General features: G+C 41.7%; 2 long non-coding RNA genes across 2 annotated transcripts in view; one reads left to right on the plus strand and one right to left on the minus strand.

Moving 5' to 3' along the window:
• LOC105376360 (uncharacterized) overlaps positions 1 to 22,946 on the plus strand; it is a 432,070-nt gene that overhangs the window by 306,511 nt on the left and 102,613 nt on the right. The window lies entirely within an intron of this gene.
• Positions 12,382 to 22,104, minus strand: LOC107984193 (uncharacterized). Its single transcript, XR_001747330.2, has 3 exons — positions 22,018 to 22,104; positions 21,061 to 21,311; positions 12,382 to 12,754 (listed from the first exon to the last, which is right to left on the minus strand). It is a non-coding gene; the product is annotated as an uncharacterized LOC107984193 (long non-coding RNA).

The raw sequence follows: 22,946 nt of genomic DNA on the forward strand, positions 1-22,946 counted from the left end.
GATTTACCTAATTAATCTTTGACAGCTTGAAATGTGTCCTCAGCAAACGGTAATGTGGTAGTGTGTGCTCAAGGAACACTAGATTAATGAAGCACAGATATAAAAATTGCATCTGTTAGATTATGTAATTCTCTCTGAGTAATTTTAATTACTGGGTATTTCAGGACCTTCCAAATCTTCTTAGAACAAAAATGTCTTATTTTATTTTTAAGAAAACTTACTTTGAGTTTTCCATCACGCTAAATATTTTACTCATCGAGACCTTTTTTAAATTATAAGACTTTTTTTTTCTTTCTTTGATTTTGGCAGCATGGGAGAAGGAAGGTAAATGAACATAGAGAAGTTATCTAACAATTTGTTTTCATTTAACATTCAACAAGGGAGAGATTTGTTTCCTCTCCAGATTTTAAGAGATTTAAATAAGGTCGTTTATGTTCAGCTCAGTTAAGCTACTGATGATCATTCTGTTCTCTTGGCAGTAAAGTGTCCTCAGCCTATTATTTCTTTAGAACAATAAAATAGCCCGGGCTGCCCAAGCCATCATCCTACAATGGGTAGAACCATGCATAGATTATTAGCTTGCAACCACACTTCTGCCTCTATTGGATCATGGCAAGGGGGCCTGACAGCATAGACCTGCTTCTTGATAGAACAAAAAAAGAAGGCTAGCCCGTTCACGACAAGATCATTTACTAAGAAAATATTCAATACTCAACAATTGCAAGTCTTGGGACATTTAGAAAATAAAATAGACTTACACTCCTTGAAGTCATCCCAGGAGAATTCTTCCGGTGAAGACTAAGGTGATCATTCAGCCCCTCGCTCGTTGGGGAGAGAGAGTTAAGTCACAACTGAGATGAGAACATTGGTCCATGGCATTGTGAAATGGATATGCGCGTTAGTATAAAGGGCATCACTTAGTTCATTTCCATCTGGCCAGTGTTTATTCTGTGCTTTTTGTATAAGGCGAGAGTGCAAAGAGGTATGACCAGTCCTCTAGGAATCCCTAGCCAGTAAAAAACTTTTGTCAAAACAGAGGAGAATTCCTCTTCTAGCAATGTCCATCTAGCTGGCTTCTGACTCACCTTCCAACTCAAAACAATGAGACATACTATGTGTTAAATGTATCAATATATACACACACACAATTAAAATCTGTTTGAAACTATAGGGCTCCCAAAGTAGAAACCTCAGATTTCACAATTAAGAAAACTGAACACCAGTTAAAATTTCAGTTTCAGATAAGCAATAGGTAATTTTTAGTTCATGTATGTTCCAAATATAGCATGGGACACGTGTCAAAAGTTATTAATTGTCTCTCTGACGTTTCAGTGTAACTTAGTGTCACACATTTGCCTACAGCAAAGCAGGGAGAACCTGAGGGGCTACCATTCAGGACATCCTGACAGACGGGGCTTGTTTTCCCTGTGAGGCACCTGTTGATTCTAAGCACGGCAGCTTAGAAGCAGAGAGGACAAGTGAGATTGCAGAACACCTGTGGAATTCAAGGGACACAATTTGACTGTGCCGGCCCACCAATGAATAAGGCCTTTATTCAACACTCCTTTGGCTAAGGTGTAGGAATAAGGAGTGCTGTGAGTTTCATTGCATCCTCAAAAGGTGGTTTAAGTCCTAATCCCTGTGGCCTGTGAATGTGACCTTCTTTGGTGATAGCGTCTTTGCAGACGATCAAGTTAAGATCATTAGAATGGGCCCTTCTCCAATACGATGGTGTCTTTATAAAATGGGCAGATTTGGACACAGACAAGCACATGAGGAGAGCACCATATGAAGATGAAGCCGGGGATGCTGTGATGCTTCCACACATCAAAGACCGTCAGCACAACCCCGGAAGCTAGGAGAATGCCTGGAGTAGATTCTTCCTCACACCTTCATGAGAAACCAGTCCTGTCGATGAGAGAGAATATATTTCTGCTGTTCTAAGCCACCAGTTTTGGTAACTTTGTCATGGCAGCCTTGGGAAACTAAAACAAGGGTCAAGTGGAGGCAGCACTGCCCTTGGAGGGTTGAGGCCCAGCTCACTCCATTGCTGCAAATCCTGTCTAAATCATCTCCCTTTGCTAAGTGCTCCCAAACACCCAGCTTGTCAGAAACCAAAAATAAGCCATCCTAGGAGGAGTACAGTAACATTCAAGGCCTCAGGATATTTCCACATACGCCATGTTCAGCACCATATCAAAACAACCAGGCGTAGAATAAAACAAAACGGAAACTACAGCAGCAAAAGAAAAAAAGAAGTTATGAAAAGATGCTCAAAACAATGAATCCTCAGGAAAATAAACACACTGAAATCATAACATTGTCCTTTCACATCCTTACCAAAATGTCTTTAATTTAAAATGCTGATGATGCCAGGTGTTGGCTAGAGCTCTGCCTCTCAGAGTGTAAACTGGGGCGAGTATGCTGGAAAAGTATTTAGTGTTATCTACTAAGTTTTAACATACTCACTTCCTGTGCCCCAGTAACTGTATGCCTTGGCTTATCCTTCACACAAATGTGCACATATATGCAGCAAAAAACACAAACACAGATATCCATAGCAACATCGTTCATAATAGCTCCCAAATGGAAACAACTCAAATGTCCATCAAGAGTAGACAAATAGAATTCCATACACCAATGAAAAGGAACACGCTCAAGATGCATACAGCAACATGAGTGTAGCTTTCAAGCATGGCATTCAGTAAAAGAGCCAGAAAGAAAGCTCTATGTATTGGGTGATTCTATTTACATAAAGTTTGAGATGATAAAAACTAACTAGGGCATTAGAGTCCTGGAACAGAGCTCATCTTTTGGAAGCAAGGTGGACAGAATACCAAGAAAGGAGTACTTCTCTTGCATGGGTGGGTTCTATTTCTTGATCATAAAGGTAGCTATACCATTGTGTTTACTTGGTGATAGTTTGTCAAGCTATACGCTTATGACTTGAGTAATTTTTGTATCTGTTTTTATGGTTACAATTTTAAAAATTATCTATTTTTCATTTTTGGCTTCCATAGGTTTTGGAGGAACAGGTGATACTTGATTACACGAGTAAGTTTGTTGGTGGTGATTTGTGAGATTTTGGTGCACCCATCTCTCAAGCAGTATACATTGCACCCAATTTGTAGTCTTTTATCCCTCACCCCCTTCCCACCCTTTCCCTTGAGTCCCCAAAGTCCATTGTGTCTCTTTTTTTTTTTTTTTTTTTTTGAGATGGAGTCTCGCTCTGTTGCCAGTCTGGAGTGCAGTGGCACAATCTACCTCCTGGGTTCAAGTGATTCTCCTGCCTCAGCTTCCCAAGCAGCTGGGACTATAGGTATGTGCCATCATGCCCAGCTAATTTTTTGTATTTTTAGTAGAGACAGGGTTTCGCCATATTGCCCAGGATGGTCTTGATCTCTTTACCTCACGATCTGCCTGCTTTGGCCTCCCAAAGTGCTGGGATTACAGGCATGAGCCACCATGCCCAGCCCATTGTGTCATTTTTATGCCTTTGCATCCTCATAGCTTAGGTCCCACTCATGAGCGTTTCATCCAAAAACACCTTCCAATCAGCCTCCGACTGATTGGATGAGACAAATGTATACATTAGGGAATGCAATCTATTGCACTCAGAGTCCACTGATTTAAGTATTAATCTCATCCAAAAACACCCTCCAAGTTGATACATAAAATTAACCATTGCAACAAACAATGGATTAAAAAATAATGTTGTGGGATGGTGGGCATTGTGAAGCACTGAGTTTTGTGGAATTTGAGATGTACTTCAGCAATAGTACTTCCAAACTGGGTAAATCACAGGGATACCAAGCTTTAGGGCAGCAAGTCAAAATTTACTGGGCTGTTTTACCAAAAGCTAACACCTTTCTAGAGGTGACAAATATTATCAGATTCTTGTTTACCATTTCAGAGCTATTTTATCCATAGACAAGAAGACAATTATTTTCTCCTCTCTTGCACAATGATGGTATACTATATTTGCTATTTTGCATAATGCTTCTTTCTTAACAGTATAAAATAAGAGATAATTTTATATTTCTACCAAATTATAAATAGTTTAAACATTCTTTATAGCTACAAAGTATTTGCAATTTTCATAATTTCTTTAACTACCAACCTAGTCATAAACATTTAGATTATTCTCAGTCTTTTGCTATCACCAAGAATGTTACAATAAATAATCTTCTAGATAATTTATTTCAAATGTGTATGAATTACATCTATTGGGTAAATTCTTAAAAGAAAAAATACTAGGTAAAATGGCACAATATTTGTGACTTTTATGCCATTATGAAATTTTATTTCTAGACGTGAGTCTATTTGCACTCTATTGGTGATGTAAGAGAGTTTCTATTTCCTCTATGTATAGTAAACTCTTTGTTCTTTACCAATATGATTAATAGAATATACTTCCATGAGTTTTAATTTGCATTTCTATTATTATAAATGAGCTTGGGTATGTTTTTGCTTGCATAAGATCTGTTTGTATTTCCTGTCTTTAAACAATCTGATCATAAAAAGTACGCTTTTATCTATTGAGTTGTTGGCATTTCTAATTGATTTGCAGGAACTCTTTATATATTCATGAAAAGAGTCCTTTGTAAAATGGGTCAAAGTGTTTTTTCTAGTTTATCGTTTGTGTTTTGACTATGGCTGTTTTAAGCTTGCAGGTAGCTTTTGTTTTAGGTAGCACAACTCAATCATCTTTACTTTTCATAACTCTTAAGTTTTATATCTCATTGAAAAAGACTTCCTCTTTCCAAGATTACTTAAAAAGTATCTTCATGTAGTTTCTTCTTATAGATTTATTTATGTTTTGCATCTATGTCTTGGATTCACCTGAAACTTATTCTACTCTAAGGCATGAGGTAGGAATTCAAATTTATCTGTGAAGGAAATTCAACATTCTCATGAAACAATTCATGAGAGTACTTATCTTTTTTACAATTGTTAAGTAATTATCATTTGAAAAAATACATAATTTCCAAATACAACTATAAACTTTGTAGCACTTTGAAGGGTACTGGTAGAGAGGTAAACATGTGTATGAGCTATTCTACATCAAGTATTAATTTATGGCATCCTTTTTAACTCGATGCATCCACTCATCCCCATATACATTCTCTTAAGGCCACTATGGATGTGGATGCCACAAATTAACAATCACTGCCACCGCCTCTCTGAGTCACATGGTGCATGATGCTATCTCTTCTCCTGTTCTCCTGTCCTCTAACTTTTCACCAGTATCCTGTCATCTGAGAATATAATTCATGGTGATATAAAAGGCAGCCATCACTGTTATTTTATCTTACATTTAAAATAAGAAGGGGAAAAGGTATTTGAAGCCAGATTATTAAAGAACAGCACAGACCCAGCATCATCATCAAACTTTGAGGAAGGAACTCAATTATAGCCCATTAAAAGACTCAAAGCTCTCTTGAGGTTGGGGCTTATTAACATAACTCAAATTTCGTTCAAGGTGCATTTCTAACTATTTTATTATATATAATCTTATTTTCTCCTTAAAAATATGTGTTTGGTGGTTGAGACTAGACATGGAATCAAGAAGGGCACTTGGTTTTTTTATCTTAGATAAATGAAATGAAGAAAACCATGGAAGTGACTTTGTGGGGAGGGAAACTGAGAGCTCCACCTTGGAATCGCATTCCTGAGATGTCATTAAGTCACATAGATGGAGATGTCAAGAAGAGAATTATGGGCACCTAGACCAGAGAGAGAGGTTCAGGAATCACCAGCATTGAGAGACTATTGAAGGCAACAGGGCTGGACAAAATCACTTGGAAAAAAGCCAAGCTGGGAAAGAGAGGTGGTCCCAAGACCAAACTCTGGGTCTGGTTGGAGGAGAAGCCTGCAAGAGAGACTGGCAAGGTGAGATCCCACTGCTGGGAAACAGAAGGGGGCATTGAGGGCTTGAGAGGGAGGCAGTGAGAGAGGGGCCACTGGTGCTGATGCTGGCTGCAGCCAGAGAACAGGATGCAGATGGAGAATGGCCCACAGGCTCAGGTGAGGGTCTCAGTGATGGTGAGCATGCAGGCCAGATGGGGCTGGAAAGGGATTTGAAGCTGGCAGGGAGAGACAGCAAGTTTAGCCCATTCATTCCAAAATGATTGTGTGATGGGTGGGGAGAGAAGGTGGAATGGACAGGAGGGATCTTTAAGGTAGGTCATTTTGTTTGCAAGATCTTACAGACCATGAAGGCAACAGGATAGGAAGACAGGGCTGCTGGGCGGTGGGAATTGCCCATCTGGGATCTGTGGGTATGACTTTACATAAAAGCCTGAGATGACTTAATCCTCCCATGATCAGCTGTCTGGTCTAAAGAGAGGGAACCTAGTTGGGTTTAACCAGAAATAGAGCTTTTCCAGGTGAGGGGCCAGTCTTTAGTGAGAGGGAGATGCTTCGAAGTATGGGAGATATTATAACCCATCTCAGAGAAGCCAGGGATTTTGAAGGAGAAAGGAAGAGAAGAGATTTAGAAATGTGGACTCATGCTCTCTCTCTCTCTCTCTCTCTGTCTATCTGTCTGTTTTGTAAAGGGGAACAAATCCAAATAAGCTTATGGTCTTATTCTACAAGATTCAAAAGAGTGGCTGACCCAGATGCCTCTTAAGCTTCTACAGTCCACCATACTCGCAGCTTTATTCCTACCCTGCTATGACAGTCTCTCAACCGTGAGTCATACCAAGGGAAGCTTTATCACTAGATGAAGACGAAATGCCAAATTCTGTAACCCACTGACAGTAAAAATTTCAAGCCACCAGTTTTGTAGACAGTACTCTAAGTACATTCTAATTTGGGAAATAGAATAAGATCATCTTACATAAATTTCCCATCCATTCTGTACACCAATTTTTATGTTTGAACTGTGATATACTATTAAAATAAGGAAGGCACTGTGTGGGCGTTGGTGGGAGTACCTTCTGAGATGTTGATATATGAGGTAACTGATCTACCTGATAACCTGCATGCTTTATAAATGAGCTGTTGAACTCTCTGCTAAATTTCAGTCTTAAATCATGATTCAAAGATGCAATTGTGCATTTATTAAAGTGGCGGGAGACAGTGTGATGCACTAGAGCTAGGGACCTACTCACTGAAGGGGGCACAAGAAAAAAAGGAAAAGCTTTCCAAGATATTGGGAAACTTTGAGACTAGAAGCATTGCTTTGAATATGCTTGCTGCTTGCTGTAATTAAAACATTTTAAAGTAGAAAAAAAAGCAGAAAACAAAACAAACCTAGTCATGAGTCTTCTAAGTAACTTTCTATTTATTCTGGTGTCCTCTTCTCCACATCTGCCTAAGAGCTTCAAGTCCTGGATTTTGTCCCTACCCTCCAAATTTTGGGGAGGATATTTTTGAAAGTTTTAGCCAACATTTTCCAAATATTGGTCCAAGGAACATTGTCAGGTTGGCTGCCTCAAAGTCTCTTTAGAAGCTTTGGAAAAATAGCGATTCCAAGGTCCTGTCCCAGAAATTCTGATTCAATGGGTTAAAGACCTCTTAGATGGAGCTCAAGAATCTGCCCTTTGAAATGAATTTGCCCAGCCTATGACGATATGTATCCAGACTGGAAGATCACTACTCTCCATTGTCTAATGGGCAGTGCCACGGGGTAACTTTAAACTACTTACATAATAAAATCTACCAAAAGTAGTAAAGTGAATATAGTAAAATTAGAGATCCTAATTTCTGAATGCTGACGCTTCTCTCAGCTCTAGTATTTCTAGAACAACTGGATCAAAAGCAACTGCTAGGGTGAACTATCATGTCGTCTGAAACCCCTGTTGGAGGCAAAACACTGAATTACATGCAATGAAGTCTCAGTGCACCATTCTTTACAAAGCATGAAGGAACAGCCACCAGCACCGTTTTGTTTTTCAGAGTGATGACGGTACTAGGACAAATTTGTTTTCTGATCTTCAGTGACCCTTGATTCACTGGGCAAGAACAAAAAGCTCACGTAACAGTTTATTACCTGAACCATGTAAAACCCATTTATATATCATGGCCACTTCAACTGTGGTGGTTGATTGTGGTGAAGATTCCAGTAACCATGGGCAATGGCACCACCATTGATAATTAAAAGGCAAACCTTGTCAATGCTGATAGAAACTCTAGTTCAAGGTAGATTCATGTTAAGCATATTTGTGAACAGTTTAGTTATTAATAATTGTTTTATAGAATGTAAGTGGAAAACAATGTATCTAAATCAATACATTACTTTGTATAATAAATAATTTTAAAATATAAATTAGTAACCAAATTCATCAATCAGGGATTCTAAGTATATATTTAAATATATCATCTAAGGCTTTAAAACTTTTTAAAAACTTACATTTTGAAAACCTCATATTTGGAAAAATATAATCTAAAGCTCTTAAAGTTTATATTTTTCTATCTCTCCCAGTGAAAATGAATGGCTGCCTTTATATTAGGGATTGCCTTATATTCAGTTCTGTAAGTTCCATAATAATCATCATTTGCTGCTCCCTAAGTTAATAGGCATCTATCCTCAATTTATTTTGGGGTGTTTTAGGGAGGGCCCTTGTGAAGATACAGTTAGTTGCTTCCCAATATTCCTCCTCTCCTTCTTTTTCTATTTTGTTTGTCTGAGATAGGGTCACTCTATGTTGCCCAGGCTGGTCTTGAACTCCTGGGCTCAAGGGACCTCCTGGCTAAGCCTCCTGAGTCTTCTTCGTTTTTAGTAGTAGAGCTCCTGACTGTCAGAAACGTGCACAGCCACTCGGAGTAGAAGCCACATTTGCAGCCTCCTTTCCAGCCAGGGGTTGCCGGGTGATGAAGTTCCACCCCATGGATGATTGGCAGTGTGGGTGCAGCTTCCAACAACTCCCTTAGATGGAGTGGGCACCCTTTTCTTCCCACTTTCCTGCCAGCTGGTGGAACGTGGGTGCAAGGACAGACAGCCAAGCTGTCATCTTGACCGAGGGGAAGCCCCAAAGTTGGGCACGGCAGAGCCTGGAGATAGAGGGAGACTTACATCAATCTGGAATGGGCCGGGCTCAGTGGCTCATGCCTGTAATCCCAGCTCTTAGGGAGGCAGAAGCGGAAGGATAGCTTGAGCCCAGGAGTTCAATACCTGCCTAGGCAATATAGCAAGGCCCCGTTCTCCACAAATACAAAAAAAAAAAAAAAGACAATCCTGGGATGACTACCTCCACTTCATAGACTTCATAAGAGTAATAAACCCCACCTTATGGAAGCTACTGCCAGTTTGAGTTTTTCTTATTTGCCATCAAACTTAATATTTTTTAAAATTTTATTTTATTTTATTTTAAGCTCCAGGATACATGTGCAGGATGTGCAGATTTGTTACGTACGTAAAAGTGTGCCATAGTGGTTTGCTGCACCTATCAACCCATCACCTGGTATTAAACCTGGCATGCATTAGCTATTAATCCTGATGCTCTGTCTCCTCCCAGCCTCCCAACAGGCCCCAGTGTGTGTGTTGTTCCCCTCCCTGTGTTCTCAATGTTCAGCTCCCACTTATAAGTGAGAACATGCAGTGTTTGGTTTTCTGTCCTGTGTTAGTTTGCTGAGGATAATGGCTTCCAGCTCCATCCATGTCCCTGCAAAGAACATGACCTTGTTCCTTTTTATGGCTGCATAGTATTCCATAGTGTATATGTACCACATTTTCTTCATCCAGTCTATCATTGAGGGGTATTTGGGTTGATTCCATGTCTTTGCTGTAGTGAATAGTGCTGCGATAAACATGTGCATGTGTCTTTATAGTAGAATAATTTATATTCCTTTGAGTATATACCCAGTAATGGGATTGCTGGGTCAAATGGTGTTTCTGCATCAAACCTAATCTTAACTGATTTTGGTCCCTTACAGGTTGATATTTTAGGTGGTGGAAACTTAATCTGGCATCCCTCAAATGATTTTCCTCAACTTTAGCCAAATTAAAAAAAAAAGAGAGAGAGAGACAGTACAAAAAAGAAAAAGAGAAAACTAAGGACAGCTTGCCATCAGGCTGGTAACTGTTTCTCCATTCAATCATTCAGGGCCAGGAATAGGGGAAAGGGTGGTGAGCCAGGTGTCCGGCTGGCAGGGTGGAGAATGGGCTCTTTTGTCACCAAATCCATCTGTAGATAATTAACAGCTGGCTGGAACAGGTAACCAAAGCCAGCCTCTTCAGATAAGGCCAGAGGTGAATTACTTCCACGATGAATGTCATGTCTGTCTGTGGAAGAGCGAGACGGAGTATAGACCCTGATGTGTTTGATGAAAGGCAGTTCGTGGATGTAAAATATGATTGTACACTATTACTCATTGAAATGGTTTGCAGCAAAGACAGATTCTTAGAGGCAACTGGCTATATAGTCTCTTTTTTTTAATAGCATATGTGTCAGCCAAACAGACATATGCCTTAACAGCTTTTAATTATTTCTACTGTTTGCTTACTTCTTTGCATTAAACATGACTTTAGTCTTTTGCATATTCATCTGAAATCTTCATTCCCTCACCCGCAGTAATAACTTCTTTAATAATTGCTGCCAGGTCTGTGGGGATTTTTGTAAAAACAATCAGCCTTTCTTCAAACCAAAACATTCCTATTTACCTTGAAGTTTTTTTTTTTTTTTTTTTCTATTCATAGTTTCTGCTTATCCTTCCTGGCAGGAGGGAAGTTTCGATGGCTCCCGCACGCACTAACTTGTTTGTTAACTCTGCAGTTCAGAGCAACCCTGTTTTACCATGAATCCCCTGGCAGCCTGACAGTTTCACTCACAGGTGTGTCTTGGGGCAAAGTCATCCCCAGTTCCAGGTCTAACTCCATTAATTTCATAGACGATTCTGAAAAGGGTTTATAACATGATATTACTAGGATCGTGTTGGTTTACATTGAATAGAAATAGTGTGTCACAGGAGAAGACAAAAGAGATTTTTTTTTTTTTTTTTTTTTTTTGAGACGGAGTTTCACTCTTGTTTCCCAGGCTGGAGTGCAATGGCAGATCTCGGCTCACTGCAACCTCTGCCTCCTGGGTTCAAGCGATTCTCCTGCCTCAGCCTCTCAAGTAGCTGCGATTACAGGCTTAAGCCACCGCCACCACGCCTAGCTAGTTTTTCGTATTTTTAGTAGAGACAGGGTTTCATCATGTTGGCCAGGCCGGTCTCGAACTCCAGGTGATCCGCCTGCCTCGGCCTCCCAAAGTGTTGGGATTACAGGCGTGAGACACCGTGCCTGGTCCAAAGAGATGTTTTTATGTGGTTCACCTTCGACCTTCATCAGGGTGACTCAGGAGGCACATTCTGAAGCCACTCTCCAACACTTAAGTTTTTTGCCAGGTATTTTTCACAAAGCAACGATTTGAACAATGAAGGAGAAAATGTAGCCTCGCAACTTCATTCGTAAATAATCCAGACTAACCGCACGGAGTATAATGGATCAAAGTGAGCAGAATCGCTCACTTTGGATGAGATCAGCCCTAGAATGAAAGCAAAACCGAGATGATGGACGGCGCAGGCTCCTTGGAGATCCGTGTTCATGACACCTGCAAGGACTGTGGGCAAGCTGCCAACCAGACATGAAATTAGCAATTAGTTGCATATTCTTCCGAGTGGGTCATGTGCTCCTTGCAATCCAGGCACATCTCTTTCCATCTGGCAGGGGTGTGGCGTATTTCCAGAGGGCTTCAATGCGCAATCCGGCAGCGCACTGCTGGGAGCCCCGGCACAGGACGCCTGACCACACTGACATACACATATTCGCGTCCGTCTTTCCCTCTCTCCACTCCTCCTGCCCTGCCTGCTCCCATCATTCCGACCTCTGATCATTTCTGTTCTCCAGACAAGCAGGATGAGCAGGAAAGAGCCCGGGCCTCTGAGTCAGAGGATGCCAGTCCAAACCAGGGCTGTCTGATGAAATGCAGATGCCCAGTTAGAGTGTCATTCCAGGTAGACATCAATTTTTATTTTAGTAGTAGTGTGTCCCAGTGATTAATTATTTCTTGTGTATTTGATGTTTCAGTTTAATGAGCATCCTGCATATTTGTTTAATATGGTTAAATTTGGCAAACTTGGTCTAAATTTAATTTCTGTCATGAATTTAGACAAGTCATTTAACATTGGAGGTTCTCAGTTTCTTGACTGCCGAGACGGGGTGAGTTGCTGAGAAGGGAAAGGGATAAGCGGTAGGATTATTTCCCAATGTCTGGCGCTCTGTTCACCAATTCAATACCTATTGTTCTATTAACAGATTCTTGCTGAAAATCTCCAGCATGCCAGCCAATGTGATCCATACAAGCCAACATCAAAGATGAATAAGAGGTATTCCTCAGGAAGTAATACCTTTATAGAAGTTTATAGCATTTTACCTTTATGGTAATCCTATGATTCAATAGTTATAATTTCTGCTTTATTCATGAGAAAAATGCAACATAGGGAATTAATCGCAAAAGTAGTAAGGGGAATGGACAGGAATGTATTTCCACAGCCAACCGTTTCTTACAATGCAGCCTCCAAAGTCTCTCAAATGACAAGGCAGAATGGAGTGTGAGCACTAAACGTACTAGGCGCCTGTGACTGGTAGACTTCCGTGCTTACTCTGTCATCATCTTTTTGCACATTTTAAGGCCTTCCTGAGTCCCAGAAGAGCAAGTGGAGTTGTGGCTAAGGCGAGCTATTGTACCATGGTGAGTTGGACATCGCTGTTTTCTCGTGGGAGCCGTTTCGAGAGAGCTCTCTGTAATGTCGCCGTGTCCTTCGCCTGCATACAAAATGCAAACACAAGACGTGTCATTAATGAGACAACCCAGATTTCTTATTCTTTCTCTGACCTTCCCCCTGCAATCCTCCTTCGATGGGATGCGGGCAACTTTCTGAAGGACTGAAACCCGGGGGAGAGGGGAGGATGTTTACTGAGCACATTACTTAGAACAAAAATAGCTGAAAGCTTCATGATATCTTTTTAGGTTATGTCAAAATGTCCCTGGGGTCAAAATACTGGTACCAAAAGAGTCACATGAAAATGTCATGCCCAGATGGAGCGACGGTTCATGCTTCATCATAAACGTTTGCCTTAGAATGCAGAGTTTTCCACTCTATTTATTTTTCCAAATTCCTTTGGCCACTCCTCCCAGCAACACTAAGTTCTTTTGAAAACAAGAACTAGAATTCCCCCCTATGAAGTCTATAAAACCTGCAAAGGGTTTAGAGATATGCTGGAAAAAAATGGAATACAAAAGGCTCAATACTTAAGTAATTTTATGACTTCCTTCTTTCCTGAAGAGCAGTCAATAATGCAACTCCTTGTGTGTAATATTGTAAGTTCCCACCATCCACACTTAGATAAGTATCAGGACCTAGCTCAACTCATTTATTTTGTCTCTCCATCAATATCGTGAGTGCATAAAAATATGGTTCTTGTCAGTGCAAAGTAGATGCATTCAGCAAGAGTGGGGTGGGTCCTTCCTCCAACAAGACTACGAGAGTAGAGGGAGTTTGCCGAGTAGCTGGCTGCTGCCTGGGTGGAGGAAACCAGGGGTGGAGAGTCGCCCTTTTCTATCTTTTCCATCCCTGGGGTTCACAGACCCTGTTCTTCTGTGGGTGTCCACAGGTCCAGAGGTGCAACCCTGCAGTGGGATGTCATAGGATGTGACCTTGGGCCTTGTGGGGAGACTCTGCCAGTCTGTGACAGGGATGTTCCCTCTGTGACCCCCTATTCCAAGGGCGTCTCTCTTCCTTTGTCTCCTTCATCCCCTTTGGAACATCTCCTAGGACCTAGGGTTCCTCTGGAGTCTGATGGCCCACTCCACGATGACACCCCAGCCGGGCCAGCCTCCTCCCCTTGTGCCCACATCCCACCACCATGGGTACCTGCCTTGAGCTGTAATCCCTGGAACCAAGTCTCCCTATTTTACAAAGTCTCAGACAACCATCCAATGCTTAAGGTCTTTTTTTTCATTTTGTAATTTTTTTTAGCTTAATTTGATTTTAAGTTCCAGGATTCATGTGCAGGACGTGCACGTTTGTCACATAGGTAAACCTGTGCCATTAAAAAGTGGGCAAAGGACATGAACAGACACTTCTCAAAAGAAGACACGCGGCCAACAAACATATGAAAAAAAGCTCAACATCACTGATCATTAGAGAAATGCAAATCTTAAGGTTTTTAATGATGGGAAAAGTCTTGATGTGTCTCATCCAAAGTGCGCTTGCTTTAGACCAAGAGACCTGCCTTGGAGATGATCGGCTCAGTAGACTGAATCTCCAGTAGAAGTGGGAGATTCTTGCTTGAGCTCTTATTATGTACTTAGCAGATGAAAAACACTTAATTGAATTTAACAACAGTCTTCTCATGTGGGCATTATGTGACAATTTTTATAAAAGGAAATTGAGGCTTAGAGTTGTTAAGTGACCACTGTCCCAGATCACACAGCATGTGAGTGACAGTGAAGAGATTTAATCGAAAGCTATCTGACTCCAAAGTTCCCAACCACAGGAGCTATTTAGACGGTGATTCACTCCACTCACACAGGCCCTCAGGTATACCTGGGGGACGGTGCCTGTTGTCACCACAATTGGTAATTATCCTATCTCCTGCTATAGACGTTTAATTTCCTTGGACTAGAGCAAATCCTTCTACCCACCAGATGTTATTGCTACACACTCTCAAAGGGAAAGAGAACAGCTAGACTCATTGAGAAAAAAAAAGACCAGCAGGTCCTTACAAAATCACATGTTTATAAGGAAACGACTTTTGAAAAAGGTGTGAACTCAGATAAGCAAATTTAAAGTAACCAATTAAGATGGAGAAATCTTCAAAGAACCTTCTACAGTTGATATACAGGCCTTGAAAAAGAATCCTGAAATCAAAAGTATCACCCAGGAACACTGAGGAACACCAGTTTTGACCAAGCTACCCCCTTAGTGGTTCCTAATCGCCCACAGAATTGAGTCCAAATTCCCCAGCATGGAGTGGAAGGCCCATCTCAAAGTGGCTCAAATCTGCCCATCCAACCGCACACACATCATGCACCGACCTGAGGTGCCTGGACTCTATCTTCTTTAGTTTTATTTTTTGTATATTTGCTGTTTTAAATATTTAGTAGTTATTAATGATAACATGAATTTCCACAAGCTTTAGTGACTCTGGTTGGAAATCTCTTCCTAAACTGTGTATGATGAGCAAAGCCGCGCACGTTAAGATCCAAATGAATGCCGGCCACCTCTGTGTGCTATAGGATTCTGTGAGTCCTGGTCTTCACTGATGAGAGTCACCTGCTGCAACCTTTGCTAAGCACCTCCTCTGTGCTGTGCATTGTACTCAACTTATCTCATTTTAATTTTATAAAATCATGTCTCCAGAACATACTATTATCCTTAATTTATAAATCTGAAATTGAGACTTAGGAGAAAAAAAGTTTAATTTTCCCATAGTTATATCATAAGTGAATTCCAAACCAAGGTTTAACTCAAGTAGCTTTGAGTCTGAATCCTAAAATCAACCAAAACAATGAATGATATTCTCAAACAAAGATGTCCTCTAATTTGGCTAAGTCTGCAGCTATAATTTTAGAATAGAAGTCTTTTTTCTAATATATGTTTAAGGTAACCAAGGGAAATTCCAGGTCCAGTTTACCTCTTTTTCTTGCATGGGACCTTTCCTCCTAGGTTATAACGTGGCCAAATTAAAAAAAAAAAAAAGGAACCAGCTGGAGCTCTGGTTCCCAAGATGCGATTCCCAACCTGCAGCCCCCCCGCCCCCCGCCCCCCGTCTTCTGAGAACTTGCTAGACCTGCACATTTCCGGTCCTCACCACAGACCCCCAGAATCAGAACCCTGGAGTGAGGCCCAGAATCTGTCTAAATCAGCCTTCCTAGTGAATCTCATGTGTGCTCAAGTTTAAGAATAGCTGAGCTGGAGGAGGAAGAGCAGGGTCGTCTGCAGTGTGCAGGTCAGTCACCACCTTTGCATACCTGGGAGCATCCGAGACCACGGTTCCCAAACCAGGCTGCACGTTAGAACTGCCTGGGCAGCGTGGGAATCCATCCACCTGGCATTGGGATTAAAGGGAGCCACTTGGCACGGGGAGTTTGAGTGATTCTGCTGTTGGGGATCCTCTGATTGGAAAGAAGAAGCAGCACGTCCGTCATTACCGGGAACTGCAGAGCAGCCTTCAGTAATCGGAGATAATCCATTAGCTTAAGCAGATTCAGATTTGTGTGTGTGTGTGTGTGTGTGTGTGTGTGAGGGCAGCCTACAATTCTTCTGGAGGACATCCCTGACTCCAGGGCCAGGCTGACCTCTAACCAGTCTGTGGGCTCCTAGATAGACCTCTCCGTCTCTCAGACTTGCACTGTAGTTTGCCAAGTGAGATAGCAAAACTATGTTAGTGCAAAGTGAACTTTTCAAGGTTTAATGTTTTAAAATCTGAACTGTGCCTAGGACATATAACAATTTGTTGAACGATTGGTGGATTTAACCCAGTTGATGTGCCAGGCAGGTATTTGTCTTGGTCCCAATGGCATCCCATAAAGTGATTAAACAAGAAATCCTGGGAATTTTTGTCCATAGACTGGTATGGTTTATAAATTCTTAGGAAGAAAACTGGTTGGCAATAAAAATAGCTATGTATTGAGTGGCAATATGTGCTAAAGACTTGGTATAATTTATCTCAATTTTTTTAATAACCCTACTAAGCATAGAGAAATTAATTTGCCAAAGTTGCAAAGCCAGTAAGAGACAATAATGTGTATTTGTATCTGCCCAACGTTTTTTTCCCTCTTAGTCTACTAATGTTTAGGGACTTATCTCTCCTACTCCTCTAGGGCTTCTGATTCAAATTGCACCCCATCACCATCCCAACCGCATGGGTGAGCACATGATCAAGGATTGGCCAATCATGGGTCCCTTCTGGCCATGCTGATTGGCTCAGAGATGGGCAAATGACCTTGATCCAGCCAATCAGATGCCTTCCTTGGGATTTTATATAGGGCCACTGACAAAGGTACTTTCTCTCTTTCTTCTGGAGTTCTCGAGCTGAGATTAAACAAATCCGCATCTGTCTGCAACCCAACCCTCCTCTCAATGCCTACCATTAGCTCATCTACATCTGCCTCAAGGGAGAATAAAATCACAGGGAAACAAGAGAGAGGAAAGGAAGAAGCCCTGTACTCCCTTTTTCCAAAATTGCCAGGCCAGCTCCATTCCTGGCCTTCTCCGTTCCATATGATTCATTCCCTTTTTCCACAAAGCTAGCCTGAGTTGGATTTCTGTCACTTCCAAACAGTGTACTGGCTAGATCATGGAACTCGTATTTCAACCTCTGTCTTTCCCTCTGACTCAGCTCATAAGCACAGCTCTGTGATGAGAAGAGGAGGTACACATCAGTGCCATTGTTGCTGGTGGGGTTTCTCCCTCATGTCTCCAATTTCAGACCCAGGCCTCACCAAGGCACACTCAGGCATTGCCCAGTAGGTGACAATCTGACCTGAATCTTCAGTCCTATTGGGCCTTGTGCAGGAAGGACGATGGCTTGCCTGCCATTTGACCTGGCAGACAAATATTCACAGGGATTGCTGTCCACTTGTTAGATGAGTATGCTTCAACCCTGTCTTATGATCTCACCCCAGCTCAAAAAATCTTCCAAGATTTTCCATTACTTATAAAAACGTGGCCAGGCATGGTTGCTCATGACTGTAATCCCAGCACTTTGGGAGGCCGAGGTGGGCAGATCACTTGAGGTCAGTAGTTCAAGATCAGCTTGGCAACATGGGAAACCCCATCTCTACTAAAAATACAAAAATTAGCTGGGCGTGGTGGCTCATGCCTGTAATTCCAGCTACTCGGGAGGCTGAGGTGAGAGAATCGCTTGAACCCGGGAGGTGGAGATTGCAGTGAGCCGAGATCACAACACTGCACCACAGCCTGGGTGACAGGGCAAGACTCCATCTCAAAAAAAAAAAAAGTATACAAAGTTATAATTTTCCCTCCTGTCATTAAACAGAAGTCTTTTTTCGTATTCATCAAAGACTAAAAGGATTTGCTCCTGAGAATTACTGTACCTGACCAAACACACACACGCATGCACACACATGTAACTTAATAACAGTAAAATCAGATTGAAGTGAATATCCACAGCAGCCTTAAATTAGGAAAAACTAACACCGCGGCATCCTGAAGTCTGTCTGTGAACAGGGAGAGGTAAGAGACGAGAAGGAAAAGACCTTTGCTGTTTACTAACCATTTTCTGAATACGAGTCAAAATTGTAATATGAAAACTCCCTCCTACTGAGGTTTCCCCCCAAAGCAGGTAACGTATGTGCATCTCTGCTGCTTCTCACACTGAAGCCGAGGTCAAGCAGTGCCTCCCAGACTGTTGTGTGCACCTACATCATCTGGGCAGATGTTGAAATGTAGGTTTCTGATAAAACACACCTGAGAGCGAGCCCAGGAATCTGCCTTCCTAAAGAAGCATGGTGGGAGACTTGGATGCATGCAGCCCTCTGAATATCTGTAAAGGTCCAGGGTTCCAGTGATTGTCTTGATTCCTGGTCCTCTATTGAGGCTGCATTTTGTGTTCTGTTCTTTTCCTTCCATGCAATGGTGGGTTGTTTCAGGTTAACCCAAGACATTTGTCTTCCTTTACTTTTATTTCCCTGTCTAACACTTTGCACATTATATTAATTAAAGAATTTTTTTTTTTGAGATGGAGTTTTGCTCTGTCACCAGGCTGGAGTGCAGTGGCGCGATCTCGACTCACTGCAATCTCCGCCTCCCGCGTTCAAGTGATTCTCCTGCCCCAGCCTCCCGAATAGCTGGGACTACAGGGGCCCGCCACCATGCCTGGCTAATTTTTGTATTTTTAGTAGAGACGGGGTTTCACCATGTTGGCCAGGATGGTCTCAATCTCTCGACCTCGTGTTCCGCCTCCCTTGGCCCCCCAAAGTGCTGGGATTACAGGCGTGAGCCACCGTGCCCGGCCACTTCTAGATTTTATATTTCCCCAACCTCATCCCTAATTTTTATTTTGAAAAAAAAGAAAATGCGACTACTGAACAAGCTAATAAGTCATAGTTGGGCTAAATTACTTCCCACATGGGATTTACTAATCCATCTGGAAGGTTTGGACACAGAAACAGAGACCCCTTCAGGATTCTGTTACGTAGAACGAGGTGTGTACGACTTTGCTTTCCATTGGCATCAACAGGTGCTTATTTGAATGATGAAGAAGCCGCCCTCCTGGTTATTACTGAGAATGGTGGTTAATTCTGGAAGAACAGGAAAGAATTGACAGAGAGAAGCAACCTCCTAAAATCAGGTCCTATGGCGTAGTTCTGTCATCACTCGTATCAGATCTATGTCTTAGTTTATTGTCATTAGATAACCACAAGAGATTCACAGTTATCCCTCCTTAATATTAGGAAACAAACTTGTTATAACCTACTGTCAGGGCTCTCTTGATTGTTAGCCTAGTTGACCTACATTTCCCTACTTCAAATTTTGGCACTGTTTTTATCAAAGTGTATATGTCAAGTGACAAACAGTCTTTGCAAATGCAAAGTATGCAGCTTTAGGAGCCAAAGTTTTCTGTAGATTTCTAGTTACTTCTCTAGGGTGTTTGTCTAAAATACGTTCAGAAAAAAAAATTATTTCTGAGTTAGGAAGCAGAATTTCTGATCCTGACGAGATGGTACTTCCTTGAGGTCTGGCTACCGCCTGGACTCTTTCTTGTTTCCTGGGTATTCCCAGCATTTAGCACAGTGCCCAATGCTTACTGGAAAGGGGTTTCGATCCAGACCCCAAGAGAGGGTTCCTGGATCTTGCGCAAGAAAGAGTATGAGGTGAATCCATAGAGTAAAGTGAAAGCAGGTTTATTAAGAAAGTAAAGGAGGCCGGTCGCAGTGGCTCACACCTGTAATCCCAACACTTTTGGAGGCTGAGGTGGGCGGATTGCTTGAGTTAAAGACCAGCCTGGCCAACATGATGAAACCCCGTCTCTACTAAAAATACAAAAATTAGCTGGGTATAGTGGCGGGTACCTGTAATCCCTGCTACTCGGGAGGCTGAGGCAGGAGAATCGCTTGAACCCAGGAGGTGGAGGTTGCAGCGAGCCGAGATCGCTCCACTGTTCTCTAGTCTGGGCGACAAGAGTGAGACTCTGTCTCAAAAAAAATAAAAAATAAATTTAAAAAGAAGTAAAGGAATAAAGAATGACTACTCCATAGGCAGAGCAGCAGCATGGGCCATTCAGCTGCTTATATTTATTGTGACTTCTTGGTTATATGCTGAACGAGGGGTGGATTATTCAAGAGTTTTCTGGGAAAGGGGTGGCCAATTTCCGGAACTGAGGGTTTCTCCCGTTTTTAGACCATATAACAGTAACTTTGTGGTGTTGCCATGGCATTTGTAAGTTGTTGTGGTGCTGGTGGGAGTGTCTTGTAGCATGCTAATGTATTCTAATTAGTGTAAAATGAGCAGTGAAGAAGACCAGAGGTAACTTTTATGGCCGTCTTGGTTTTGGTGGGTTTTAGCTTCTTTACCACAACTTGTTTTTCCAGTAAGGTCTTCATGACCTGTCTCTCGTGCCGACCTCCTATCTCATCCTGTGACTTAGAACGCCTAACCTCCTGGGAAAGCAGCCCAGTAGGTCTCGCCTTGTTTTACCTAGCCCCTATTCAAGATGGAGTCCCTCTGGTTCAAACACCTCTGACACAACAAGCAGCTGATATAACTATGTAGTTATTGAATAAGTCCCAAATAGTTTCATATTATTAATATGAACATAATAATAGGAATAAATCCTAAATTGTTCCTCTACTTAGCAAGAACAAAAGAGAAAGTCCTACTCTCTTTCAAAGAGAAGATAAACAGTCAACATAAAGCAGAAAACATGGAACATTTTCACAGTTCTCAACCAAAACAATAGAAGCTGGGAGATGATAGAAATGTACCTTCAAGGCCCTGAAGGAAATTGATCCCTAACCTGGAATTCTATGCTCAGCCCAACTATTAATTAAGAATGCGATTAGAATAAACATATATTTAGACATACAAGCTCTCAGTAGTTACCCCCAAAGAATCTTTCCTTGGTAAGTTCTGAAGGGTGTAGTTCTCCAAAAGAAGGATGCATGGATCAAAAACAGAGTTCCAACACCACATGGGAGTAGGGAATCTCCAGAGGCCGGTGATGGAGATGGAAGGTTGACAGGAGCCAGGTGCTGACCATGTCCAGCATATTCTGGGGCAGGTGGGAAGGTTCCAGGGGCGTCCTTCACAGCCACCACACAGATGAGACGCATGAACCAGATGACTTGATGGATCTGCAACAAAGAAAGGGAGATGTGGACAAGCGACAGAAAGTTTCGGTTAAACTATGAGGTCCGAATACTGCCTGGGCTCTGTCTGGTTTCCTGGGTATTCCCAGTGTTTAGCACAACTGCTAACGCAAGCAGTTGATATGACTACATATTTATTGAATGAGTCCTAAATAGTTTCATAGTGTTAATATGAACATAATAATAGGAATAAATCATAATTTGTTCCTATACTTACTAGGAACAAAGAGAAAACTATAAATATAGTCAAGAAATCAAGAAGAAGATAACAATGACAGGGATCATAATAATAAAATGCTCGGGTAGTGTTTGTATAGCCACAACAATGGAACACACACTATTGACGCAACCAACATTAGCCATGCAGGAGGAAGGAGGAAGGTTCGGGAGCTTTTGTGTGGTTGAACACTGGGGTTCAAGAGAGCTAATGCTCATTTTCCAGGCTGGCTAGCTCACAGATCCTGCCTAAATCTGAAAAAATAAAAAAGTAGGAATACAAGTATTTTAATCAGAAAGAATGGAAGCAAATACACAAAAGAATGCCAGAAAAACCTGGAAATTGCCTGCTCTGAGATATAGAGGGAGAATGTTGAGACACTGCTGTTTTCCTAATAAACTTTGTAGAAATATTTGCATTTGGAACCATGAGCAGGTTATACAGATATATATCAATCAACATCAGGAAACTAACAGAACATTGATGCCGTACGGACAGCTCTGAAAATGAGGCACAGTCATATCAGTCACACTGGTTCCCCATCCGCAGTTTTGCTTTCTGTAGTTTCAGTTACCCGAGGCCAACTGAGGGCTCAAAGCATTCAAGGAAAAATTGCAGAAATAAGCAGTTCATAAGTTTGAAATTGCGCCGCGTTCTGAGTTGCTCTGTCCTGCCCGGGATGTGAACCATCCCTTTATCCAGTGCATCCACACTGTCTATGCCACCTGCCTGTTATTCCCTTAGGAGCCACTTCAGTTATCAGATCGACTGTCGTGATATCACAGTGCTTGTCTTCAAGTCACCCTATTTTACGTAATAATGGCCCAAAGTGCAAGAGTGACGACACCGGCATACTGTTGTAATTGTGCTGTTGTTGGTAGCGACTGTTGCGGGTCTCTTACTGTGCTTAATTTATTGAATTATCATACATAGCTATGTGCGGTATAGAAAAAACGTTCTATTTAGTGGTCAGTATGATTCGTGATGTCGGGCATGTGCTGAGGGTCTAGGAGTGAATCTCTCTTGGATAAGGGGGCACTGAAGTCATGCACTGTGGGGCCCTTGCCCCCTGCCCCTGCTGCAAGTCCTGGGCACACCCCTCGAAAATACTGAATGTTTTTTTTCCCTCTCTCATCATCAATCTCCTAAGAAACAAAAAGTATTTTCCTTATAAAAGAAAACTTATTTTCTAGAATGAAGAGTGTTGTCAGACTCCTAAAAAAGGTTAAGAAGAAGGCTGGGAATGTTCGCCATACGCAGGTATGCCAGGCATATGCACATTTTGTAGCTAAGCTGTATTGCAATAAAAAGTTTATGTAAAAAAATACTTAGAGGATACGTTATCCTGGTATGAACTATTAGCACTTTCTGTTACAAGACAAAATTCTCCCTGAGGCATGAAC

This window comes from Homo sapiens, chromosome 10, assembly GCF_000001405.40.
Source record: "Homo sapiens chromosome 10, GRCh38.p14 Primary Assembly".
Classification (NCBI taxonomy): domain Eukaryota; kingdom Metazoa; phylum Chordata; class Mammalia; order Primates; family Hominidae; genus Homo; species Homo sapiens.